A 23272-nucleotide genomic window follows, 5' to 3' on the forward strand; every position below is an offset into this window, starting at 1 on the left:
TAAGTTCCTTGGAGAGAGAAAAATACTGAGGGGGCATGGGAAGTGCACAGATTTGAACTAGAGCTCGGACTCTTAAAATGCTGGAGGGAAGGGGCATTCCCCACAGGAAAAAAAAAACAGGAAGAAAAGCCAAGAGGAACCTGGCAGGTTCAGTCAACAGGATGGGATGGAACAGAGGGGGAAGGACCTGGGTGGAAGATGGACGCATGGTTCTTGTATTCAAGATAAGAAGGAGTCACAAGGAGTCACTGGAGGCTCACAGTAGAGACCAACGGGGTCAGATCTGTGCTGGGTAAGGATCCCCTCGGTGGCAGCAACAACACTAGGAACAAGAGCATCCCCAAATGGGCAGCAGCTGGGTATATTCTGATACCACGCACGTCATAAAAATGTCATGCAGCCAATAAGACCAAATGCAGGAGATTGAGACCATCCTGGCTAACAGGGTGAAACCCCGTCTCTACTAAAAATACAAAAACAAAATTAGCCGGGCGTGGTGGCGGGCGCCTGCAGTCCCAGCTACTCAGGAGGCTGAGACGGGAGAATGGCGTCAACCCAGGAGGCAGAGCTTGCAGTGAGCCAAGATTGTGCCACTGCACTCCAGCCTGGGCGACAGAGCGAGAAAACAACAACAACAACAAAAACAAATTGTAGCAGGGAGTGGCGATGGTTACTGGGTACAAAAAATAGAAAGAATGAATATTTAGTATCTGATAGCACAACAGGGTGACTATAGCCAATGATAATTTAGTTGCATATTTAAAAATAACTAAAAGTATAGCTGGATTGTTTGTGACACAAAGGATAAATGCTTGAGAGGATGGATACCCCATTTACCTGATATGATTATTACACGTCATATGCCTGTGTCAAAATACCTCATACATCCCATCAATACACAACAAAAATAAATTAAAAAAAAATTTTTTAAAAGAACAACATAGGGCAATTGGACAAAAAAAAAAAAAAAAAAGATCAAATTGAAGACATACCTATTGACTCTAGGGCCTTTCATGAGGTATTATTGAGTGAGAAAAACAAGCTAGAAAGAATCTTACTTAAAAAAAAATAAAGATGATCACTCCTCTCCAAAAATCCCTGCTCTAGCTACATATATGCGTATAAATGTAGTCATGTACCACATAATGATGTTTCAGTCAACGACAGACTACAGATATGGCGATGGTGCCGTAAGATTGAAATTTTTTTTTTTTTTTTTTTTTTTTTGAGACAGGGTCTCGCTGGGATTACAGGCATTTGTCACCACACCTGGCTAATTTTGTATTTTTAGTAGAGATGGGGTTTCTCCATGTTGGTGAGGCTGGTCTTGAACTCCCAACTTCAAGTAATCTGCCTGCCTCCGCCTCCCAAAGTGCTGGGATTACAGGCATGAGCCACCTCACCCAGCCTGGGGGTTTCTTTTTGAGGTGACGAAAATGTTCTAAAATTGACTCTGGTGACGGCTGCACATATCTGTAAAAAATTTTAAAACTCACTGAATTGCAGATTTTAAATAAGGCAATTACATGACATAAGAACCATATCTCAAAAAAGCTGTTAAAAAAATTTTTTAAGTACATTAAGGCCAGGCGCGGTGGCTCACGCCTGTAATCCCAGCACTTTGGGAGGGCGAGGCAGGTGGATCACCTGAGGTCAGCAGTTCGAGACCAGCCTGACCAATATGGTGAAACCTTGTCTCTACTAAAAATACAAAAATCAGCCGAGTGTGGTGGCATGTGCCTGTAGTCCCAGCTACTTGGGAAGTTGAGGCAGGAAAATTGCTTGAACCCAGGAGGCAGAGGTTGCAGTGAGCTGAGATCGCACCACTGCACCCCAGCCTGGGCAACAGAGTGACACTCCGTCTCGAAAAAAAAAAAAGTACATTAAGTACCAGTCTAACACTGAGGCATTTAAAATGGACAAGAAATGGATGGAAGAGAAAGTTTGCATCCTGGAGACAGGACGAAATCTATGTAGTTTTAATGTATACTTTGGATAATTTAATCCTACCAAAAATAAGTAGAAATACTTATTTCCACACAATCTGAAAAATACTATTTCAGAATGCCTAGATGATTAATAATGATTAATAACAGGGCACACTAAACCCTCTACAAAAATCACTTACAGGCAATCCTTACCTCCTGCAGCTTATTTAGATAAAGGACAACAGAGGTGCTGACAAACAGGGACACCAAGAGCAGGGAGGGTGCTTCCCAATGAAGACAGAAATGCATTTATTTATGTATCAATGAATCCAATTGCCCTGAACATTACCGAGCCTTCCATAATTTCATGAACAGTGCATGACAATAAGAAGTATGACAGTGGATTTGGAAACAGCCATTTGCCTATGGTAAGGGGACATTCAATCTGTGCTTATTTAATGAAAGAAAATACAGTGAGTTTATTATCCATGGACCATTAAAGTTATAATGTTTTTCAGCATTTGAGAAACTCGCAAAAACCAACCAAGGCATCCTGAGAAGAGCCCAGGAAGACGTGGCTGGGGGTGGTAGGAATCCAGCTTGTCACACAGGAGCCATGGGTTTTTCCAGAGCCGGCCAAGATTTTAGGGAAAAGCCATTTTGTAGATAACGAGACTGGAAATTAGGAAGGCAAAATGACTTGTTCAAACCGGTTATTTTTTTTATTTTTTTGAGATGAAGTCTCACTCTTGTCACCCAGGCTGGAGTGCAGTGGTGTGATCTTGGCTTACTGTAACCTCTGCCTCCCAGGCTCAAGCAATTCTCCTGCCTGAGCCTCCCAAATGGGTAGCTGGGATTACAGGCATGTGTCACCACACCTGGCTAATTTTGTACTTTTAGTAGAGATGGGGTTTTCCCATGTTGGCCAGACTGGTCTTGAACTCCTGACCTCAGGTGATCCACCCACCTCACCCTTCCAAAATGCTGGGATTACAGGCTTGGGCCACCACGCGCGGCCTTAAACTGGTTTTAACATTTGCTTAAATCAAGAAGTTAAAAAGTAAGTCTCAAAGAGCTTTGCGTTCCTGAAAACTAGCATGTAAATCAAACTCGTATGCATCAAACCTATTTTCCTACTGACACATTATAAAACTGGGAAATATTACCATGGGATATAACTCTGAAAGGAATGAAAACTTCTTTAGGGAAAAGATTAAGTGGAACCTAGGCAGAGAATGTGGTCTATAAGGTATCATTCCCAGTGGCAATCCGTCTTCTGGAAACACAGACATTCTCTGGAGATTTAAGCACAAGGAACATTCCTAGAGATCAACTTGTCAGGTACTGACTTGGTCTAATACAGGCGACTTAAAGATCACAATTTTAAGGGCCACGACCACATCGATAAGAAATCAGTTTGCTACATTGTGAGTTCAGCCAAACATCTGCATATGGAAGCAACTAGAGAATAAAGAAGAGCTTTTAGAAAATCAAATTGCAAACTGAGCAAATCCAACTCTGGCTACTCCCATAAACACGGACAATCATCAGCGGACCATATCCTTACTTCGCATATCAACCTCTGATCACTGACAAACAATTCAACTGTTCTTTGACCCACGGGGATTTAACTCCATTTGCATCTCATACTGAGAGGTGACAGCACACTGGCAGTCCTCAGAGCCCTCACTTGCTCTCGGCACCTCCCCTGCCTGGGCTCCCACTTTGGTGGCATTTGAGGAGCCCTTCAGCCCCCTCACTGCACTGTGGAAGCCCCTTTCTGGTCTGGCCAAGGCTGGAGCCCACTCCCTCAGCTTGCAGGGAGGTGTGGAGGGAGAGGCACGAGCGGGAACCGGGGCTGCGTGCAGCGCTTGCGGGCCAGCTGGAGTTGCGGGTGGGCGTGGGCTTGGTGGGCCCCGCACTCGGAGCAGCCAGCCAGCCCTGCTGGCCCCGGGCAATGGGGGACTTAGCACCTGGGCCAGTGGCTGCGGAGGGTGTACTGGGTCCCCAGGCAGTGCCAGCCCACCGGCGCTGTGCTCTGTTTCTCGCTGGGCCTTAGCTGCCTTCCCGTGGAGCAAGGCTCGGGACCTGCAGCCCGCCATGCCTGAGCCTCCCACCCACTCCATGGGCTCCTGTGCGGCCGGAGCCTCCCTGACGAGCACCGCCCCCTGCTCCACGGCGCCCAGTCCCATCGACCACCTAAGGGCTAAGGAATGCGAGCGCACGGCGCAGGACTGGCAGGCAGCTCCACCTGCAGCCCTGGTGCGGGATCCACTAGGTGAAGCCAGCTGGGCTCCTGAGTCTGGTGGGGACGTGGAGAGTATTTATATCTAGCTCAGGGATTGTAAATACACCAATCAGCACCCTGTGTTTAGCTCAAGGTTTGTGAGTGCACCAATCGACACTCTGTATCTAGCTGCTCTGGTGAGGACGTGGAGAACCTTTATGTCTAGCTCAGGGACTGTAAACACACCAATCGGCACTCTGTATCTAGCTCAAGGTTTGTAAACACACCAATCAGCACCCTGTGTTTAGCTCAAGGTTTGTGAGTGCACCAATCGACACTCTGTATCTAGCTGCTCTGGTGAGGACGTGGAGAACCTTTATGTCTAGCTCAAGGATTGTAAATACACCAATCGGCACCCTGTGTTTAGCTCAAGGTTTGTGAGTACACCAATCAACACTCTGTATCTAGCTGCTCTGGTGGGGCCTTGGAGAACCTGTGTGTCCAAACTCTGTATCTAACTAATCTGATGGGGACGTGGAGAACCTTTGTATCTAGCTCAGGGATTGTAAACGCGCCAATCAGCGCCCTGACAAAACAGGCCACTCGGCTCTACCAATCAGCAGGATGTGGGTGGGGCCAGATAAGAGAATAAAAGCAGGTTGCCAGCATTAGCAACCCGCTCGGGTCCCCTTCCACACTGTGGAAGCTTTGTTCTTTTGCTCTTTGCAATAAATCTTGCTACTGCTCACTCTTTGGGTCCACGCTGCTTTTATGAGCTGTAACACTCACCACGAAGATCTGCAGCTTCACTCCTGAGCCCAGCGAGACCACGAGCCCACCAGAAGGAAGAAACTCCGAACACATCTGAACATCAGAAGGGACAGACTCTAGACGCGCCACCTTAAGAGCTGTAACACTCACCGCGAGGGTCCGCGGCTTCATTCTTGAAGTCAGTGACACCAAGAACCCACCAATTCCGGACACAATACCCCCTCCTTGGGTGCCTGCTAAGGGCAGGTGTCTGAGCATGAGATGACACACCACAGTGGACAAGGGACACACTGGTAACATGTGGCACTGTATCCCAAGGATGATGCCCTGCATGTGACAACGTATATAATAACGACTGCTTCTGCTTTAATAACAAATATCAAATACAGTGTGACAACTCCTTGGGTGCTTCTGAATACATGTTATAATTTATTTCTAGAGTGGATCCTTTCCTATCATTTTTGGAGAGAATTTACTCAAGGTCTAAAACTTTCATGTGATCACAATGTCTTGAAGATTATGTAAAAGTAAACAATTATTTTAATCAACTAAAAATATTTATTTGGGCCAGGCACGGTGGCTCACGCCTATAATCCCAGCACTTTGGGAGGCTGAGGTGGGTGGATCACCAGAGGTCAGGAGTTCGAGACCAGCCTGACCAACATGGAGAAACCCCATCTCTACTAAAAATATAAAAATTAGCCAGGCGTGGTGGTACATGCCTATAATCCCAGCTACTCAGGAGGCTGAGGCAGGACAATCACTTGAACCCAGGAGGCGGAGGTTGTAGTGGGCCGAGATTGTACCATTGCACTCCAGCCTAGGCAATAAGAGTGAAACTCGGTCCCTAAAGAAATAAATGTGTGTGCGTGCGTGTGTGTGTGTGTGTGTGTGTGTGTGTGTGTGTATATGTATGTATGTATTAGAAGCCTCCCATAGACTAAGCACCCACACAAATAACTAATGGTGTGGGATGTCCAAGAGCAAACCCAGTCCCTGCTCTGCCCTGACAAATGCAGGCCCTTCCCAGATTAGATCTGCTTAGGATGCAAAATGGTAGAGAGCCCGAGATCTGGCAACACAGGAGATCCTCAGAGCCCTGACAAACAGCCCCAGAAAGCCAAACAAAGGAGCTGAGCATCACACCGACAGTAAGTCAATTGCCTTTACTGCCTTAACTTGGGAGCTTATTAAAAGAATTTTTTGAAGACTTTATGTCTTATAAGACCAACCTCCACATTGCTAGACTATTTCTCAAAGTGAGTGGTACTGCATTCAAAATTTAGAGTTCTACTTTTCCACTATTTTATTTTTATTTTATTTTATTTATTTTATTTTATTTTAATTTAATTTTTGAGACGGAGTCTCGCTCTGCCGCCCAGGCTGGAGTGCAGTGGTGCGATCTCAGGTCACTGCAACCTCTGCCTCCCAGGTTCAAGCAATTCTCCTGCCTCAGCCTCCCGGGTAGCTGGGATGGGAATATAGGCACGTGCCACCACACCCGGCTAATTTTTTGTATTTTTAGTAAAGACGGGATTTCACCGTGTTAGCCAGGATGGTCTCCACCTCCTGATCTTGTGATCCACCCGCCTTGGCCTCCCAAATTGCTGGGATTACAGGCGTGAGCCACCGCGCCCAGCCTCCACATTGTATTCTTTAATGGCACCTGACCTACTTTAAATGAAATACTTTAAACTTTACATTCATATTGGGTCTGCAACTGAGGGACTCATCGCACAGTTCATATTGTGGAGATTAGTATGCCACTATCTTAAGAAACATAAAATATGTGAATTATGTAATAAGAAAAGCCATTACATAATTCATTACATGAATACTGTATGTGTGGGGCAGGGGGCACTGCTACAGAGAGGATTTAAAATATTAGGTATATTTGTATTTGCATTTCCATTATGGGATATACCTCTACCCCATTTAACTTTAAAAATAAACAACCTTATCTTCTGATAACCCCTCTTCAACTTTAAGAAGTTAAAGACTCCATAAGAATTACCCAAAGACAATTACGCTACATAACAAAATATCATTCCCAGTCCTGTAACTACTAAGAAAGCCTCACAACAGGACTCCCATCCCCTCCTCTTGCTGATTCACAAAGAACTCTGCAAGGAATCTCAGTCTATTTGCTTTCTTTGCTACAATAAACTCTCAAGAGTGGTGAATAAATATTCTCAGATAAGAAGTTTATCATGCTTTGAACAATGTTCAAAAGCATCGTAACTAAAGCAGCAATATAACTTTCCTGACCTTGAACAGAAGGTAAATAAAAGTCACTTCAACTGGCGACAAAAGTCCTTTGTACTTACATCAGTCATTTCACTCCGGGGCTGTTAAACACTTACACAGTGGTTGCTACTTGCTAATTTTCACATTTTTAGAAAAGAGGCAGAAACTAATTTCCCCTAGAGAAGAGGCAACCCCCGCAGGTGAGGAACAGGAAGGTAGTAAGCAGGGCCTGACTGGCGAGCAAGCTGTCAGTCAGTCCTGGAGGTCAGATTGTAGGGTCTGGAAATTTCTCACTCACCAAGTACAACCTTCAACCCACATACCCGCTGAGACTAAGTACAGCTGTCACCCTGAGCAAGGACACTCACACTCTGTTACAGCTGCAGGCGCTTACCTCGGACCCACACAAACCTCAACTACCTAATGGGAAAGAAAACACTGGAACATAAATAACATGCACACATACATGTCAATCTTTCTAAGGGATAGCTCTGGTTGTATCACAGCCCTGTTCACACAGAGCCAGCACATGCCAGTTTAAGACAAAGGCTTCGATTTCCCATTCGAGGTCCTCACAGTATGGCTCCAATTTACCTTCCCAGTCAATACGCCCTTATACAAATCCTACCTTTTAGTCCAACCATAGATCATTCTACTTGTTTCTTGATTAAAATGCTCACTTCCTGTCTCCACCTCAGCTGAAACTGGCCTCTCCACCTGAAATGTACCATCTGTTGAGCCTGATGGATCTTTTAGGTGTCTCTCAAATGCTCCCTCCTGCGTAAAACTGTCCCGATGCATCCCACAGGTGCCATCCGTGATGCTCTCACCCCTAGGTTCCCAGCACACGCTGTACTTGCATGAGGATGTGACCCCTGGTCACACTCTTTTTCATCTTAAGCATGTCCATGTGAACTCCCCATTAAATTACACATTCTTGCAGCGGAGCAGCTGAATTCTATGAATGTCTGAGTTCACTACATTGCCTGGTGTGTCACCCTACGTATCAGATACACTCTCACTTACGCTGGTATATTTGCATGAACAAAATTGTGCTTCTGTTTACAGCTGTTTCTAATATATTTGTTTAATTAGCATTAAATAGGTTTTGCCTCTCTTACAGATTTTGGAGAAATGAAAACGTTTTTTTGCTTTTTAAAAAGTATGTCAATCTACACAACTATAATCAAATGATTTTTGAGCAATGTGCAAAGGCAATTAGAGAAAGGATAGTCTTTCTAACAAATGGTGCTAGAATAATTGGACAGCAATATGCAAAGATATAATCTAGATGTGGACATTACAACTTTCACAAGAATTAAGTAAATCATAGACCTATGTATGTAATGTAAATCACAAAACTATAAAACTCCTAGATGATAACATAGGAAATAATCTAGGTGGCTTTGGGGATAACTTTGATACAACAACAAAAGAATGTTCCCTTAAGGAAAAAATAGATGTGTAGGATTTCATTAAAATTAAAAACCTTCTTCCGAGAAAGATGCTGTTAAGGCAATGAAAGACAAGTAACAGACTGAAAAATATTTGGAAAATACACACTAAGAAAGACTGTATCAAAAATTTACAAAGAACACTTAAAACTAAACAATATGAAAATCCAATTTTTAAAATAAGCAAAAGATCTGAAGAGACACTTCACCAAAGAAGATAGGCTAATAAGCATATGAAAAGATATCACCTGTCATTGGGGAATTACAAATTAAAACAGGCCAGGCGTGGTGGCTCACGCCTGTAATCCCAGCACTTTGGGAGGCCGAGGCAGGCGGATCACGAGGTCATGAGGTCAGGAGATCGAGACCATCCTGGCTAACACAGTGAAACCCCGTCTCTACTAAAAATACAAAAAAAAAATTAGCTGGGCGTGGTGGTGGGCACCTGTAGTTCCAGCTACTGGGGAGGCTGAGGCAGGAGAATGGCGTGAACCTGGGAGGCGGAGCTTGCAGTGAGCCAAGGTTGCGCCACTGCACTCCGGCCTGGGTGACAGAGCGAGACTCTGTCTCAAAAAAAAAGAAAAAAAATTAAAACGATAATGAAGTACCACTACATACTTATTAGAATGCTTAAAATCCAGAAAATTGACAATATCAAATGCTAGCAAAAATGTGGAGCAACAAGAACTCTCACCCAGAATTGGCAGGAATGCAAAATGGTGCAGTCAATTTGGAAGACAGTTTCTTAAAAGCTGAACACAGTCTTAACACATGATCCAGCGACTGCCCGCTGAGGTATTTTCCCATTTAGGCAAAAACTTACGTCCACACAAAAATCTGCACATCAATGTTTATAGGATCTTTGTTCGTAACTGCCAAAAACTGGAAGCAATCAAGACATCCTTCAACAGGTGAATGGACAAAGAAACTACGGTATATCCATACAATGAAATATTATTCAAAAGCTATCAAGCCACAAAAAGATGCGGAGGAACCTCAAGTGCATACATAGTGCTAGGTGAAAGATGTCAGTCTGAAATGGCTATATACTATTTGACTCCAATTATATGACATCCAGAAAGAGACAAAACTTCAGAGACAGTAGAACAATCAGTGGTTGCCAGGGGTCGGGGGAAGGATGAAGAACTAAAGCACAGAGGAATTTTAGGGAAGTGACACTATTCTGTGTGATACTGTAATGGTGGATACATGACATCATGCATTTGTCAAAACTCGCGGAACTTTAGAGCACTAGAATAAACCTTTGGGGAAACCAAGAAATAATGTAGATTGTCACAAGAGAATCTAAATGAATCGACCTCACTAAACAGGGTGAGGGAAAAGACGCTGACTTAAATAACGCTGGAAACATATAGAGTCTATAAGACTAAAAGCATAAAGAACTGCATTTCAGCTCTGTACTATAGTTGATAAAGTTGTTTTCCCCAGGGGTATGGAGTCACAACTCTGGATACTACTGTACATGTACACTGGAATTAAACAAAAAAATGAATGGCAGATGATGGGAGCCAGGTTTCTTACTGTTGGAGCGAGAATTTTGCAAGAAAACCTAAACAAAACCCATTCTGTCCAACTGGATTTGATTTACTGTCATGAAAACAGCACAGAAAATCTCAGGGTCCTGACACTAGTTCAAATATGACTCTAAAGGAAGCCAGCATAAGGTCCAAGTAGCCCTCACAATGTGTTTCTAGAGAACATGCCCAAAACGCAGCTCGATACCCAGTTATTTTTTTTTAATGACTCACATGACACGACTGGAATGTGTTTCTATGGGGGTTCCACTGCAAGACGTCATGAAGTAACTCTTCAGTATAGTGTTTAATGAGGAGGGATGCAAAAGAAATTGGGAGATTACAGCCATCTCTTTTTCCCCACTAACTAATTTGTTGTTGTTAAATGAAAAAATAATACACGCAAAGGATCTGGGTGTATATATGCATATATAATACATACACATACATACATATACAAAAAAGCATCTGCCATAAAAACCCCACAGCTCTCCTGAGGAAGACCATTCGTACTAGTTTCCTGTGTCTCCTTCAGGCACAGTCAATGCATGTATAAACACAGTATGCATGTGTGTGTATATGCACGCTCACGTGTGTGCAGATAAATACACGCACTGCTTTTTTAAAAATGCAAATAAAAGTGTTCCACATTTTGCTTCTCTTACCTAACAGAATCTTAGAGACAGTTAACCTGTCAGGATATACAGTTCTCTCACCTTCTTCTTCTTTTTTTTTTTTTTTTTTTTTTTTTTGAGACAGAGTCTTCCTCTGTCATCCAGGCTGGAGTGCAGCGGCATGATCTCAGCTCACTGCAACCTCAGCCTCCCGGGTTCAAGCGATTCTCCTGCCTTAGTCTCCTGAGTAGCTAGGATTACAGACATGCATCACCATGCCTAGCTAATTTTGCTAATTTTTGTATTTCTAGTAGAGACGGGGTTTCACCATGTTGGCCAGGCTGGTTTCGAACTCCTGACCTTGTGATCTGCCTGCCTCGCCCTCCCAAAATGCTGGGATTATAGGGGCGAGCCACTGTGCCCAGCCAAAATACTACATCTTAAATTGAAAATCGAGTAATAAAAATAGCAACTACCCAGCCCTTGAACAGGAGCTATGTTTCTACCATTGAACTGAGCACTTTACATGTGCCCACTTAATCTTTACAACTACTCTATGAATTAAATCAGTCCATGATGATAAAATTAAGTGTGTGATATACATTTTTAAAAAAGCAATCGTGTGGGAAATGCTCTCAGCTAATATTTCCACAACACTCTACAATTTCCAAAGTACTTTACCTACAATTTGCTCTATCACCCTGTGAGGTGGGTAGGGCAGCCATTAATTAGCATTTTCATTAAATAGGGTCAAAGAATGTTGTGTGACCTGAGTCATATCATACAGCAATTACCAGGCCAGAGAAGCAACAGGTACCCCCTTTTTTTTTTTTTTTTGTGAGGCGGAGTCTAGCTCTGTCACCCATGCTGGAGTGCAGTGGCGTGATCTTGGCTCACTGCAGCCTCCACTTCCTGGGTTCAAGCGAATCTCCTGCCTCAGCCTCCCAAGTAGCTAGGATTATAGGCGCACGCTGCCACGCCAGGCTAATTTTTGTATTTTCAGTAGAGACAGATGACCATGTTGGCCAGGCTGGTCTCAAACTTCTGACCTCAAGGTGATCCACCCGCCTCAGCCTCCCAAAGTGCTGGGATTACAGGTGTAAGCCACCGTGCCCAGCCCACTCAAGTCTTTTAACATTAAATCCTTGCAGATCATGCCAGATCTCCCCTAGAGTGCAGTAGCACATCTGCTGACTGACAAGTTTACGTCCAAAGTGATACCATATTAGTGGCCACTATGGTCATCTGTGGACGATCATCAAGTCAGCATGGTTCCATTCTGGCACATAGGTTGGTTTGTATGTATGGATCTCTATGGTGGTGGTGGTGATGGTGGTAACAGCAGTACTAACACCACTAGTAGTAACAGTACAAGTAGTACTTCCAGCAGCAACATTAGTGGCAGAGGAATAACAAAAGCTATCATGTACCAAGGGCTTACTGTGTCAGCTTTCATTTAATTTTAGCAACTCTATGAGGTAGATATTATTGTCATCCCCATTCTACAGATGCATAACCTGAAGTGCAGGGTGGTTAATTAACTGTCTAGGGTCACAAGGCTCATGCTTAATTAACACAGCTGAGCTTCAAATCCAGGCATCGTGACAGCCAAGCCAGCACTAAGCACCACTAGCTATGCGGCTCTTCCTGAAAGGTGCAAATTCAGGAAAGGGGGAGTTCCTGTAGTTCCAACGTATTCATTATTTAACAATGGAGTATACTTCCTGGTACATATTTCCTGAATATTTCTGAATGAAATTTATCACAATAGCTATCTTGGTAGCAGCCCAAAATAGAAATCAACTTCTGAGCATTAAAACCCACGAGATGATACATTTAGTTAGAGTGAGGGCTTGTAAACCACAGCCTGCCAGCCATATCCGGCCTGCCACCTGTTCTTGTAAATAAAGTTTTATTGGAACACAGCCACACATTGTCTGTGACCACTTCCACAATACAATAGCAAAGCCTAAAATACTTACTATCTTGCCAGTTACAGAAGTTTACTAATCTCTTGAGTTAGAGAATAAAAGCTAGACAAACAGGGTGCTCAACTGGTGCAAATTGAGTTGTGCTCTAGAGATAATTACACACCAGATTTCAAAAACTTAGTATGAAAAAATAAAGTATCTCATTAATCATTTTGAAATTTATTACATGTTGAAAGGATAACATTTTGGATATAGTAAAAAAAATATGTTGTTAAAACTGCTTTCACAAAAAAAACAATTTTTTTTTACACTTCTAAATGTGGCTACTAGAAAACCTAAATTAGACATGGTGCTCACATTCTATTCCTATTGAACAGTGTTATTCTAAAAAGTTAGGGCTTCTGGTTTATAAGGACTTGGAGAGTAAAACAACAAGGCTTAAAATTCTAATTTGATTACAATTTTGTTTGATACCTGCAGCATGTTTTGTATAAATACACTGTCAGACTATTTTGATATAAGGCTTGCATGTTTAGAGACTAACACATATTCCTTTTCATAACATTACCCATTTTTCAAAGATAAAAAACAATGCTCATGCAAATACTGTGAAATAAAGGCCCCATGAAGGGTTCTCACGAGGCTAATGACTCTGAACAAATAAATCAAACACGAAGAATTTCCATTAACATCAAATAAAGTGTCAAATAATCTTTCAAGATCAAGACAATGATTCTCAAACAACATATAACTAACTACTTTCCCTAACAAATTTATATTTAGTTTTCAGGGATCCCCCAAAAGATTCCTAGGACATTAACTTTGATTTTTGTTTTTTAAAACAAACTGTTGAAGCCAGCATCTTCCTTGCCTATGGGGATGCTGAAACAGAGCCAGCGCTGAGGACAGAGCTGTAATAAAGCTGGATTAAACAAGATAAAACTGGGGCACATACACTCCGATCCTTCCCCCCAGCCCAAAAAAAAAAAAAAAAAAACTAGCAAAGAAATGCCTGGAAAAGCTATGCCTAACAGCTCTCCAGTGTTTAGTACAAGCCCTTTCTCTTTAATTATGTCCATGGGACATTCACTCATTTGAATCTTGGCTGCCTCTGTGCCTGGTCACATACTTGTTTCCAAAACACACAAGTGGCCTGAAAATCACGTGTTGAGCGTGTGATTGAATGCTTCCTTGAGCTCTAGGAACATAGGCCGCCCTCCGCCATGGCTTCTTCCTTCCATTCTGGTTTCTGCCTCCTGGCTTCCTGCCTTTCACAGCCCTGCACCTGCCGCTCCAACTTCCTCTCTCTCAATGGCCCTGCGTGTGCATGGACTACTGCACACGGCCAGGGTCGCTTGTCTCCTCTCCTGCACACTGGACAGATTTCTCAACTCTGCCTCCTTCTGCGGGCTGCCCTCTGGGGAAACCCTGTAGGCAGATCCCAAACTTCAGGCCACACACCAGCTTGCACACCAACTCCTTGGGGATGAGGTACCTGGGGACTTTCTTTTGGCTCCCACCCCTCCAGCTCTTTGGGAAGATAGAAAGCAGAACTGCCTTTTGCTGCAAAAAGGGAACCCCTGGATCGCCAAAACTAGAGCTTTTTAATTTTCAACACTGAAAAAAAAAAAAGCTACATATAGTCTCCTTCCTGAATTAAAAGTTAAACGGCATATAATGACACCTAATATTTAAATATGAATTACCATGTACCAAGGCTTTCCATGAGTCTAATTGAATATCCAAGAGCCAGTGGGCAAGACAAGACTATTATTCCATTATATACCTGGAGACCCTGATCCAAGTGGAGTGGCTTGCTCAAGGTCACACGACTACTGTGCACTAGGACCTGTGTCTAGTTCTGTGCCCTTCGTCCTCGTGGGAAAACCAGAAGAGCGTGACTCCAAGTGTGGCCTGGGACGGCTGCCTGTCCATGGCAAGATGGCCACCAAAGGTGAGAATAAGCATTTAGGAACTCTTACAGCGATCTGATGTGGCTGCATCGTTTTTACTGTATTTTTTTACTGTATTTTTCTTTTCTTTTCTTTTAAGCAGCAGCAAGAAGGGGACCCTTTTCTTTTCTTTTAAGCACAGCGTGGAAGGGGACCCGAGTGGGTTGCCGATTTTTACTGTATTTTTCAAATGCACCAGTCCTCAATGAATTGGCAATGAAAAACAAAACACTGCTCTTTTGACTCTTTGAGATGCATTGTTCTAGAAGGTACTAAGGTCAATTTTGAGTTAAAGCTCCTAAGATATTTATTTGTATTGGTGTATATAAAAATCCACTGTTATTACAATATTATTCTGTAATTTTGCATGACGTACTAAACTTTCTCTTCCTATAGTTTAACATCAAGTCAGACTCAATGGATAAGAAAGTGTCCTTATTTAAATTCTTCTTCAAAACTACCACAAGTCTAAAACGTGGATTCAGAAAATCTGATATTACATCTATTAAAAGTTACCTAAATTGTACAACGATAAAATCCAAATATTTTTGTATTTCTCTCTACCTTCACCCCTTCCACTCTTCATCTAAAGTTGTATTTTCTATTTTTTTTTTTTTTTTGAGACGGAGTCTCACTGTGTCACCCAGGCTGGAGTGCAGTGGCGCGATCTTGGCTCACTGCAAGTTCTGCCTCCCGGGTTCACACCATTCTCCTGCCTCAGCCTCCCGGGTAGCTGGGACTACAGGCACCACACCCGGCTAATTTTTTGTATTTTTAGTAGAGATGGGGTTTCACCGTGTTAGCCAGAATGGTCTCGATCTCCTGACCTTGTGATCCACCCGCCTCGGCCTCCCAAAGTGCTGGGATCACAGGCGTGAGCCACCGCACCCAGCCTAAAGTTTTATTTTCTAGTGTGGCCCAACAGCAACGCTTTGCTAAAAGAACTCCAACTGTACCCCAGCCAACCCTACGAACTCATCCACTCACTTTCTCAGCTTCCTGTGGAGTGAGGCTCAGCAACCAGGCCCAGTCCTGGCCAAAGAACCAAGCAGAGAAACGAGGAAGATGTCACGCAAAACTACTGAGGGGCTCCTGGGGAAGATTTTCCTTCCTAATTAAAGGAAGAGGGGCACCGAGGGGAGTCTCTTTGGTCCCAACCCTGATTCTTTCCAGGATTAATGTTTACTCTAAGAGGGTGAGGTCTTTATTTGCTTTACTCAGAGATGTATCACAATGGCATAACAGATGCTCATTGAAAAAAATGGAATGACAATGTTTTGTGAGGAGGTGATGGCTGTAGCTATGGCAACCATTTTGTAACCTTGAGGAAGGACCAAGAGAACTACAGGCACATGGATCCAAGTCCTGACCCTGTGGAGCCTCTAAACAAACGCTTCTTATTAAATGTGGGGTTTTTACATATTAACCGTGTAGGTCATTATTGGCAGAATTACTCTGTCTTAGTGCTGAAAAGTTGGACTCTGCCTGGAGAGAGAGAAGGGTATGTGACATACCGGTACAGTCTGTTGGTAGATGGAAGAGGTGCTGTGGTGGAAGGGAAGGATTATCCCTGGGAAGGAGGGAGGCTTATGGGGAAGGGGCTTAGTCCTCAGTGGATTAAGGTGCATGGAGATATTGCAAGGCTTGTATATAGTTTAAAACTCTTCAGTGGTTAACACTGTGAGCCTCAAAAATAACCAGAAGACAAATCAGTATGGAGCAGAGGTCAACAGGGGCAGCATCAGCTGGTACGGGATGCCAAAACCAGAGGGACATCACGGGGCAGTGTCAAGTTCAAGCCCAGCCAGAGAAGCCAGAAACAAAGACAGAATACAGAGACCCAGGTTCCCTGGCCCCTGTGAGAATTACTAGGTGGGGGCCACATCTGAAGCAGCTAAATGCCTAGACAACCTGAGATGGGAGAGACTTAGGAACTCAAATATATTCAAAATATAGAGAGGATCTGACAAAGGCAGAAAGACAGGGATGCAGCACGCTGCGGAGGATGGAAGGTGGGGTGGCTGATGTTAGATGCTCTCAGTCCTTTGATGAATTACAAGGTGAGGTCGTGGGCTGTCATGGGAAGGTTGAAATCAGGTTCAGGGATGTGGGAAGGTATGGGGGGAGTTGGTGAAGAGCAGGGAGGCCACCTCCAAGGCTGGCACAAGTATGTACTAGCATTGATCAAAACACACTTTTTTTTTTTTTTTTTTGGAGACTGAGTCTCGCTCTGTCGCCCAGGCTGGAGTGCAGTGGCACGATCTTGGCTCACTGCAACCTCCACCCCCTGGGTTCAAGCAATTCTCTGCCACAGCCTCCTGAGTAGCTGGGATTACAGGTGCCCGCCACCATACCTGGCTAATTTTTGTATTTTTAGTAGAGATGGGAGTTCACCATCTTGGCCAGGCTGGTCTTGAACTCCTGACCTCATGAGCCACCCACCTCAGCCTCCCAAAGTGCTGGGATTACAGGCATGAGCCACCACGCCCAGTTTTGTTTTGTTTTGTTTTTAAGATGGAGTCTCACTCTTGTCACCCAGGCAGGAGTGCAGTCATGAGATCTCGGCTCACTGCAACCTCTGCCTCCCAGGTTCAAGCGATTCTCCTGCCTCAGCCTCCTGAGTGAGTAGTTAGGACTACAGGTGTGTGCCACCATGCCTGGCTAATTTTTTGTATTTTGAGTAAGAACAGGGTTTCACCATGTTGGCCAGGCTGGTCTCTAACTCCTGACCTCAAGCAATTCGCCCACCTTGGCCTCCCAAAGTGCTGGGATTACAGGCGTGAGCCACCACGCCAGGCCAAAACATGCTTCTTGATATTGTCCAGCAACCCTGTGGAATTGGAGACAGAGAGGAAAGCGTGGACATTACCCAAGACAAGGCTGGCAATCTGGACAGCGTGGAGGGCATGAAGCCCCAGGAGGTGACGGAGGCCACCAGCTTGGGATAGGGCGGCTCCCCATCTCCTGCCTGGCCTGGGAGTGTTGTCACGTGCTGTGTTCACTCTGGGATCATTCACGGCTGGACACATGACTTGAGAACTCATTTTTTAGTATGCATGCTATGCTGCCATCAGAAAAAAATGGAAGGCTGAGTGATAAACCAAGCAAGGAAAGAAAATGAGGAAATTCTGAAGGGGGTTCATGGAGATACCAAGAGCAAGGAGGGACTGAGGGGGTCTGTGTGAGGAATAGGAGCAGGTCCGTGCTCTCCTGGAAGGGTGAGAGATAAAGCTGAAGGGGAACATTTCATATTTTGAGTAGATCATATAAACTTAAAATTAGGGGTTTAATAATTCAACATATAAGAAAATGGATACTGCAAATCAATTAAAGTATGCTGAAAGAGACTTTCAGAAAAACCCAAAGAAACAAAGGAAGGAAGGAGGGCAGGAGGGAAGGAAGGAGGGATGGAGAGAGGGACTACAGATTTGTTCCAAATCAGACCCAAAGCCCTGGTGAAGACAACAGAAGGTTCAACCCTTTGCACAAATCCCATCTGGAAATCCTCACAGGGTAGCCTCCCCCTTGGGTATAATCTGTTGCCCTTTTATCTAGTGAACCTAACGAAACCTTTTTATCTGGCTAAACTAAACCTCCATCTCACTCTATTCATCTGTGTTCTATTTCTACTTCTCTGTCCACCATATTGAACAGGTCATCAGCTCCTTTATTCAGACGTGTTCTGAAAAATCATGCTGAGAAATACAAATTAGGAGGGCAGCTGTCTCTCTTTGTAGATGTTGCCAAGGAGGCCCAAATCGGTCATTAAAATGCTAAAATAGCTGTGAAACTCACTAAAGCACTTACACGATCACTAAGGTTATGTCCACGCAGTGAGGACTGAGCAAGAAAAAGAAGGGAGGAGATGAGGAGGGAAATAAGAGGAAAATGCATCCAGCAGCCACAAGTTCCTCAATATCCAAAGCCGGGAAAGTGGTCAAACTGAGATTTGGAATGCTTGGCTGAATATTTTTTATAATGCTGCATTAACGGTATTGTAAGAGCTGAGCGCGGTGGCTCATGCCTGTAATCCTAGCACTTTGGGAGGCCGAGGTGCGCAGATCACTTGAGGTCAGGAGTTTGGGACCAGCCTGGCCAACATGGCAAAACCCCATCTCTACTAAAAGTACAAAAATTAGCCAGGCATGGTAGCGGGTGCCTGTAATCCCAGCTACTCAGGAGGCTGAGGCAGGAGAATCACTTGAACCCGGGAAGTGGAGGTTGCAGTGAGCTGAGATCGTGCCATTGCACTCCAGCCTGGGTGACAGAGCAAGACGCCATCTCAGAAAAAACAAAACAAACAAACAACAACAACAACAAAAATACACACACTCAGAAAAATCTGAGCTAAACATCCAGTCACCAAACAGATGCCAAATATTAAAAAGACCACAAGGTCATCAGATTTATATTAGTGGAGTGCTGGAAGGGGCTTGAGAAATCACCCCACCCCATCATCCCATTTCTACAGGAAGAAACTGAGATCAAGTCAGCCCTTTTCATTTCATTAAAAACATAGCTAAGAAAAGAGTTACTTCTTTGATAATAGATATAGCTGATTTATAAATATTCATGAATATATACTGAGATACCAGAAGAAAAAAAAAGTCACATGGAGAATTTTCCTTGAAAATTGCTCAGTGCCGTCTGCTCTGAGATAAATGGTAATTTATTGGCAAGTCCTCGGTAAATTCTGCTTTCCAGAAGGAAGGAAGGCCTGGTGGGAAGAGGGTATTGGTGAGCTGCGCATCCTAGGAGTCCTTTTCTTGCTTATTCATGTATTAAAGTGGTTGCCTGAAAGTCATAATGGGAAATTAGCCAGCCTTAGATCACAGCCAATATCTGTTAAGTATAAATTAGAAACACCACAAAATATCCCATTGAGCAGTTGGGAGTTGCTAGGAAACGGGAGGTCAGGCAGCACTCAAAGGCCAGGTTATTCCCATCCCCGGGCCTCTTCAGGACTCTCCAGGCTGGACTCTGGGCAGGGGGCGCCACGAGTTGACGGCTCGGCATCGCAGCATCCACGTCCAGGCAGGGAGTCCAGGCTTCTGAGCTGGGTGACTCGAACTGCTTAATTGTTAAGTGCCTCCCTCCTGCTACCAGCAGGAAAGGGTCCAATGTGTGACATGCCAGGCTGGCTTCAGGGGCAGCCTGACGCTTTCTCTAAGATAGGAGTGCCTGAGAATTCGTATGAAAGAGTTTTAAGTTGAAGACTCTTCCACAGATTAAGCACAATGTTAAAAATAAAAGGGATGCAAAAAAAAAAAGAAAGAAAGAAAACAAAGGAGTATATGCTCCTAAATCCAAGAAGCAGCAGACAGAAGGCTATTCATGAGTGACAGCTTTCTCCTCACCTGTCCTTATTAACACATTTCATCCACTTCCTTCAGCGATCCAATTTGCTTTACTTAACATCTACCACATCTTTCGACTTAAAAGAACAGCTTTCAGGGTTCTGATCATATTGCTTCCATGAATTTGATATTCCCCACGCCTACCCCAAAATGAACGTACGTCCTTCACAAATTCTACCTGGCAATGTGCTGCTGAGTTCAGTCAACGGTGCCCACGTTCAAATGACAGATCACGAGAAGAAACGAACACACCTGTTTTTTGCTGGGAGAGCCACACAGTGAACACCAGAGTTCTCTACCAAGACTCCCGATGTCAGGCCGGGCATGGTGGCTCATGCCTATAAATTCAGCACTTTGGGAGGCCAAGGTGGGCGGATCAACTGAGGTCAGGAGTTCGAGACCAGCCTGGCCAACATGGTGAAACCCCGTCTCTACTAAAAATACAAAAATTAGCCGGACGTGGTGGCGCACACCTGTAATCCCAGCTACTTGGGAGGCTAAGGCAGGAGAATCACTTGAACCCGGGAGGCGGAGGTTGCAGTAAGCTGAGACTGCGCCATTGCACTCCAGCCTGGGTGACAAGCACGAAACTCTGTCTCAAAAAAAAAAAAAAGACTCCAATGCCACTTCTTTCCATAATGATGACTATGACTGCTGTTTATCAGCCACCACGGCCATCAGTGGTGTCTCCGTCCGTGCCAGAGTCTGAGCCAGGAGTTTTACAGACTTGCTCACAGTTCCTCTTTGTACCTACCCTACAAAGGGTGGCTTCTGTACTCCCTTCCCTGATGGGAGAACAGAAAACTAAAGTGACAAACCAATGACCTGTGGCTGGTAAAAGGCAGGCCGGATCAGTGTTAAAACCTCATTTGGTCCACCATGATGTGTGGCCTCCCAGGACAGCCTCATCCATCATTTTACTCCAGAAATGTTGAAAGAGTAACTTGCTTTATCATCTTGTTCGCCATAAATTGTCTAAAGGAGAGGTTGCTTTTATTCACTGAGCAAACAGCAACAAATCAACTTGTTCCTTGAGAGGAAAACCTTATGCTGTTAGCCCTGGAATAGGTAGAAAAACGCCCAGGTTAATGAATTGCTATAGAGTCATCAGGCTAATGGAGAGAGCTGTAGGGCAGAGTCTAAATGCTGTGATTTACACGAGAAAACCGTGGGACCAGGCCACGGTGGTGAATGTTGTTTAAAAATGCTACCATGAGGCCAGGTGCAGTGGCTAACACCTGTAATTCCAGTAATTTGGAAAGCTGAGGCAGAAGGATTGCTTGAGCCCAGGAGTTCGAGATCAGCCTGGGCAATATAGGGAGACCCCATTTCCACCAAAAATAAACAAAATTAGCTGGGTATGGTAGTGCATACTTGTGGTCCCAGCTACATGGGAGGACTGTTTGAGCCCAGGAGGTCAAGGCTGCAGTGAGCCGAGATCCCACCGCCACACTCTAGCCTAGGCGACAGAGCCTCGGGAAAAAAAAAAAAAAAAAACCCAAACCCAGAAAATGCTATTATGACACATTACACACTGGCAGACACTCTAAAAAATCCTCCCTGTCTGTCTCCGCATTCAACTCCAACAATATCTTGGCATCATGAACTATGATCTGAGGCTGGTCTGTGACACAGTAACAGAAACAGAAAAAACTCAGACATGAGCTGCTCATCTCTTCACTCTTTCCTACATTTTTGCACCCAACCCTCACTAGAGCTAAATCTCAACTGAAGAGTCTCTACTCATCCACACCCGCAGATCAGGGCCCCTTTCCAGGTACTGCTGCTAGTTTCTACTCTCCACAGCACCGAATAAAGCACAATCTATGTCTCAGATACGCGACTACACATTTACCAAAACGACCAGGACAAAGAACAAAAAAAGCCTTTGCATCCAGGCCAGTTGCTATAGAGTCTTTGAATATTCCCAACCTGCCTTCTCTATCATCTAACTACTTTGTAGCGACAGGCTGGAACAAGAAGAATGGATGTGCTGTGAGCAGGCAAGGTGAGAAGTGGAGAACAAGCGGCGATTGTACTGTAGTTAATTATTTTAATTGAGCATGAGAAGGGAAAGGCTTGAACTCTAAGGACGTTGGCAGAGCCCCAGAGTTTATGTAAACCAGGAAATGCCTCTAGCACGCCCCAGATAGCAGGAGCAACTGAATAGAAGTGGCCCATCTGCTGATGCAACAGCGCTGCAAACAATGGCTGCTCTGAGAGAGGGTCAGTTCCACAGAGTTTTCAGAGGTTGTACACCTCTTTGTTCCTGCATGCTCACAGGCTGTGTTAGAAGCCTGGAAATCCCAGTCAAATGATGTCACGACCAGGTCCAACCTGCCCTTCCACTTCTGCACAGGACCTTATTTCCCTAATTCGCAAGGTACCTCTGATTAAAAGCCTCTAAGAGCTGCAACTCTGTACACTTGTAGTCCAATGTAAACTGACTAGCTCAAGCTTTACTGAAAGCAATGCCATGCAGTCAGTGAATCAAATGCATAGGCCAACGTTTCAGTCAATACCAGAAAAAGAAAAGAAGAAAAAGAATGTGGTAGGCTAATTTTCCTTCTGCAATTCCTCAAACCACAATTAGCATAGTAACAATGCCTTATGTTTGGCCTTCATAATCCAGCGGGATTTGTTTTGGCTCAGCAAAGGGGATTTGTTTTAGCTCAGCAAAATTTGTCGTAGACCCCTACTTATGTGTTATAATAACCATATTTAAACTTCTGTGGTCCCGTAAGAAAACACGACCAAAGTATGCCTACGAGATTTCATATTCAAATCATGGTCTTTTGCCAAACGGCTAAAAGCTGAAATCTCAGTTATTCAAACTTATTATGCATACTCTTACTTAATATTCTTATTTATCTGAAGAGTTCTTTCTTAAAAAAATCACTAAATAGGGTCTAAAACATTGGTTTGCTAGTGAATTTTTCACCATCCTAAATGTGGAGGGTGAGGGGAAAAATGTTACTGTATCTTTAATAGGACCACTTTAATTTTGTAGAGGCAAACTTTGGGTATATTACAGAATTCCAAAGCCAAACAGTATTCCCTTTTAAGTGAAATACTGACAAATGAAGCATCTGGCACACTTTAATGAGCTGTTTTATCCTTTCAGAGTGGCTGAAACTAGGACAGCCATTCATCTGAGACAGTGGCTAGCACAGAGCAGTTACACAATGACACAGGACGCACTGATACTAAGCCCACCACCACCATTTCCCATCTCCTAACACGACTTACTAAAAAG

The 23272-nt window shown here is 44.1% G+C and overlaps 1 protein-coding gene across 4 annotated transcripts in view, besides 2 other annotated features; it reads right to left on the bottom strand.

The window, feature by feature from the left end:
- The window catches only part of MYO10 (myosin X), a 274382-nt gene that overhangs the window by 52284 nt on the left and 198826 nt on the right, over window positions 1–23272 (bottom strand). The window lies entirely within an intron of this gene.
- Window positions 3832–4413: an enhancer, noted in NCBI's record as "H3K27ac-H3K4me1 hESC enhancer chr5:16718131-16718712 (GRCh37/hg19 assembly coordinates)". NCBI's record gives its function as "activates a minimal SCP1, AML or CMV promoter by ChIP-STARR-seq in primed H9 embryonic stem cells {active_cell/tissue: H9 hESC(primed)}" and the evidence as "EXISTENCE:reporter gene assay evidence [ECO:0000049][PMID:30033119]".
- Window positions 7446–8135: an enhancer, noted in NCBI's record as "NANOG-H3K27ac hESC enhancer chr5:16721745-16722434 (GRCh37/hg19 assembly coordinates)". NCBI's record gives its function as "activates a minimal SCP1, AML or CMV promoter by ChIP-STARR-seq in naive H9 embryonic stem cells {active_cell/tissue: H9 hESC(naive)}" and the evidence as "EXISTENCE:reporter gene assay evidence [ECO:0000049][PMID:30033119]".

This window comes from Homo sapiens, chromosome 5 (assembly GCF_000001405.40).
Source record: "Homo sapiens chromosome 5, GRCh38.p14 Primary Assembly".
Taxonomy (NCBI): Eukaryota; Metazoa; Chordata; class Mammalia; order Primates; family Hominidae; genus Homo; species Homo sapiens.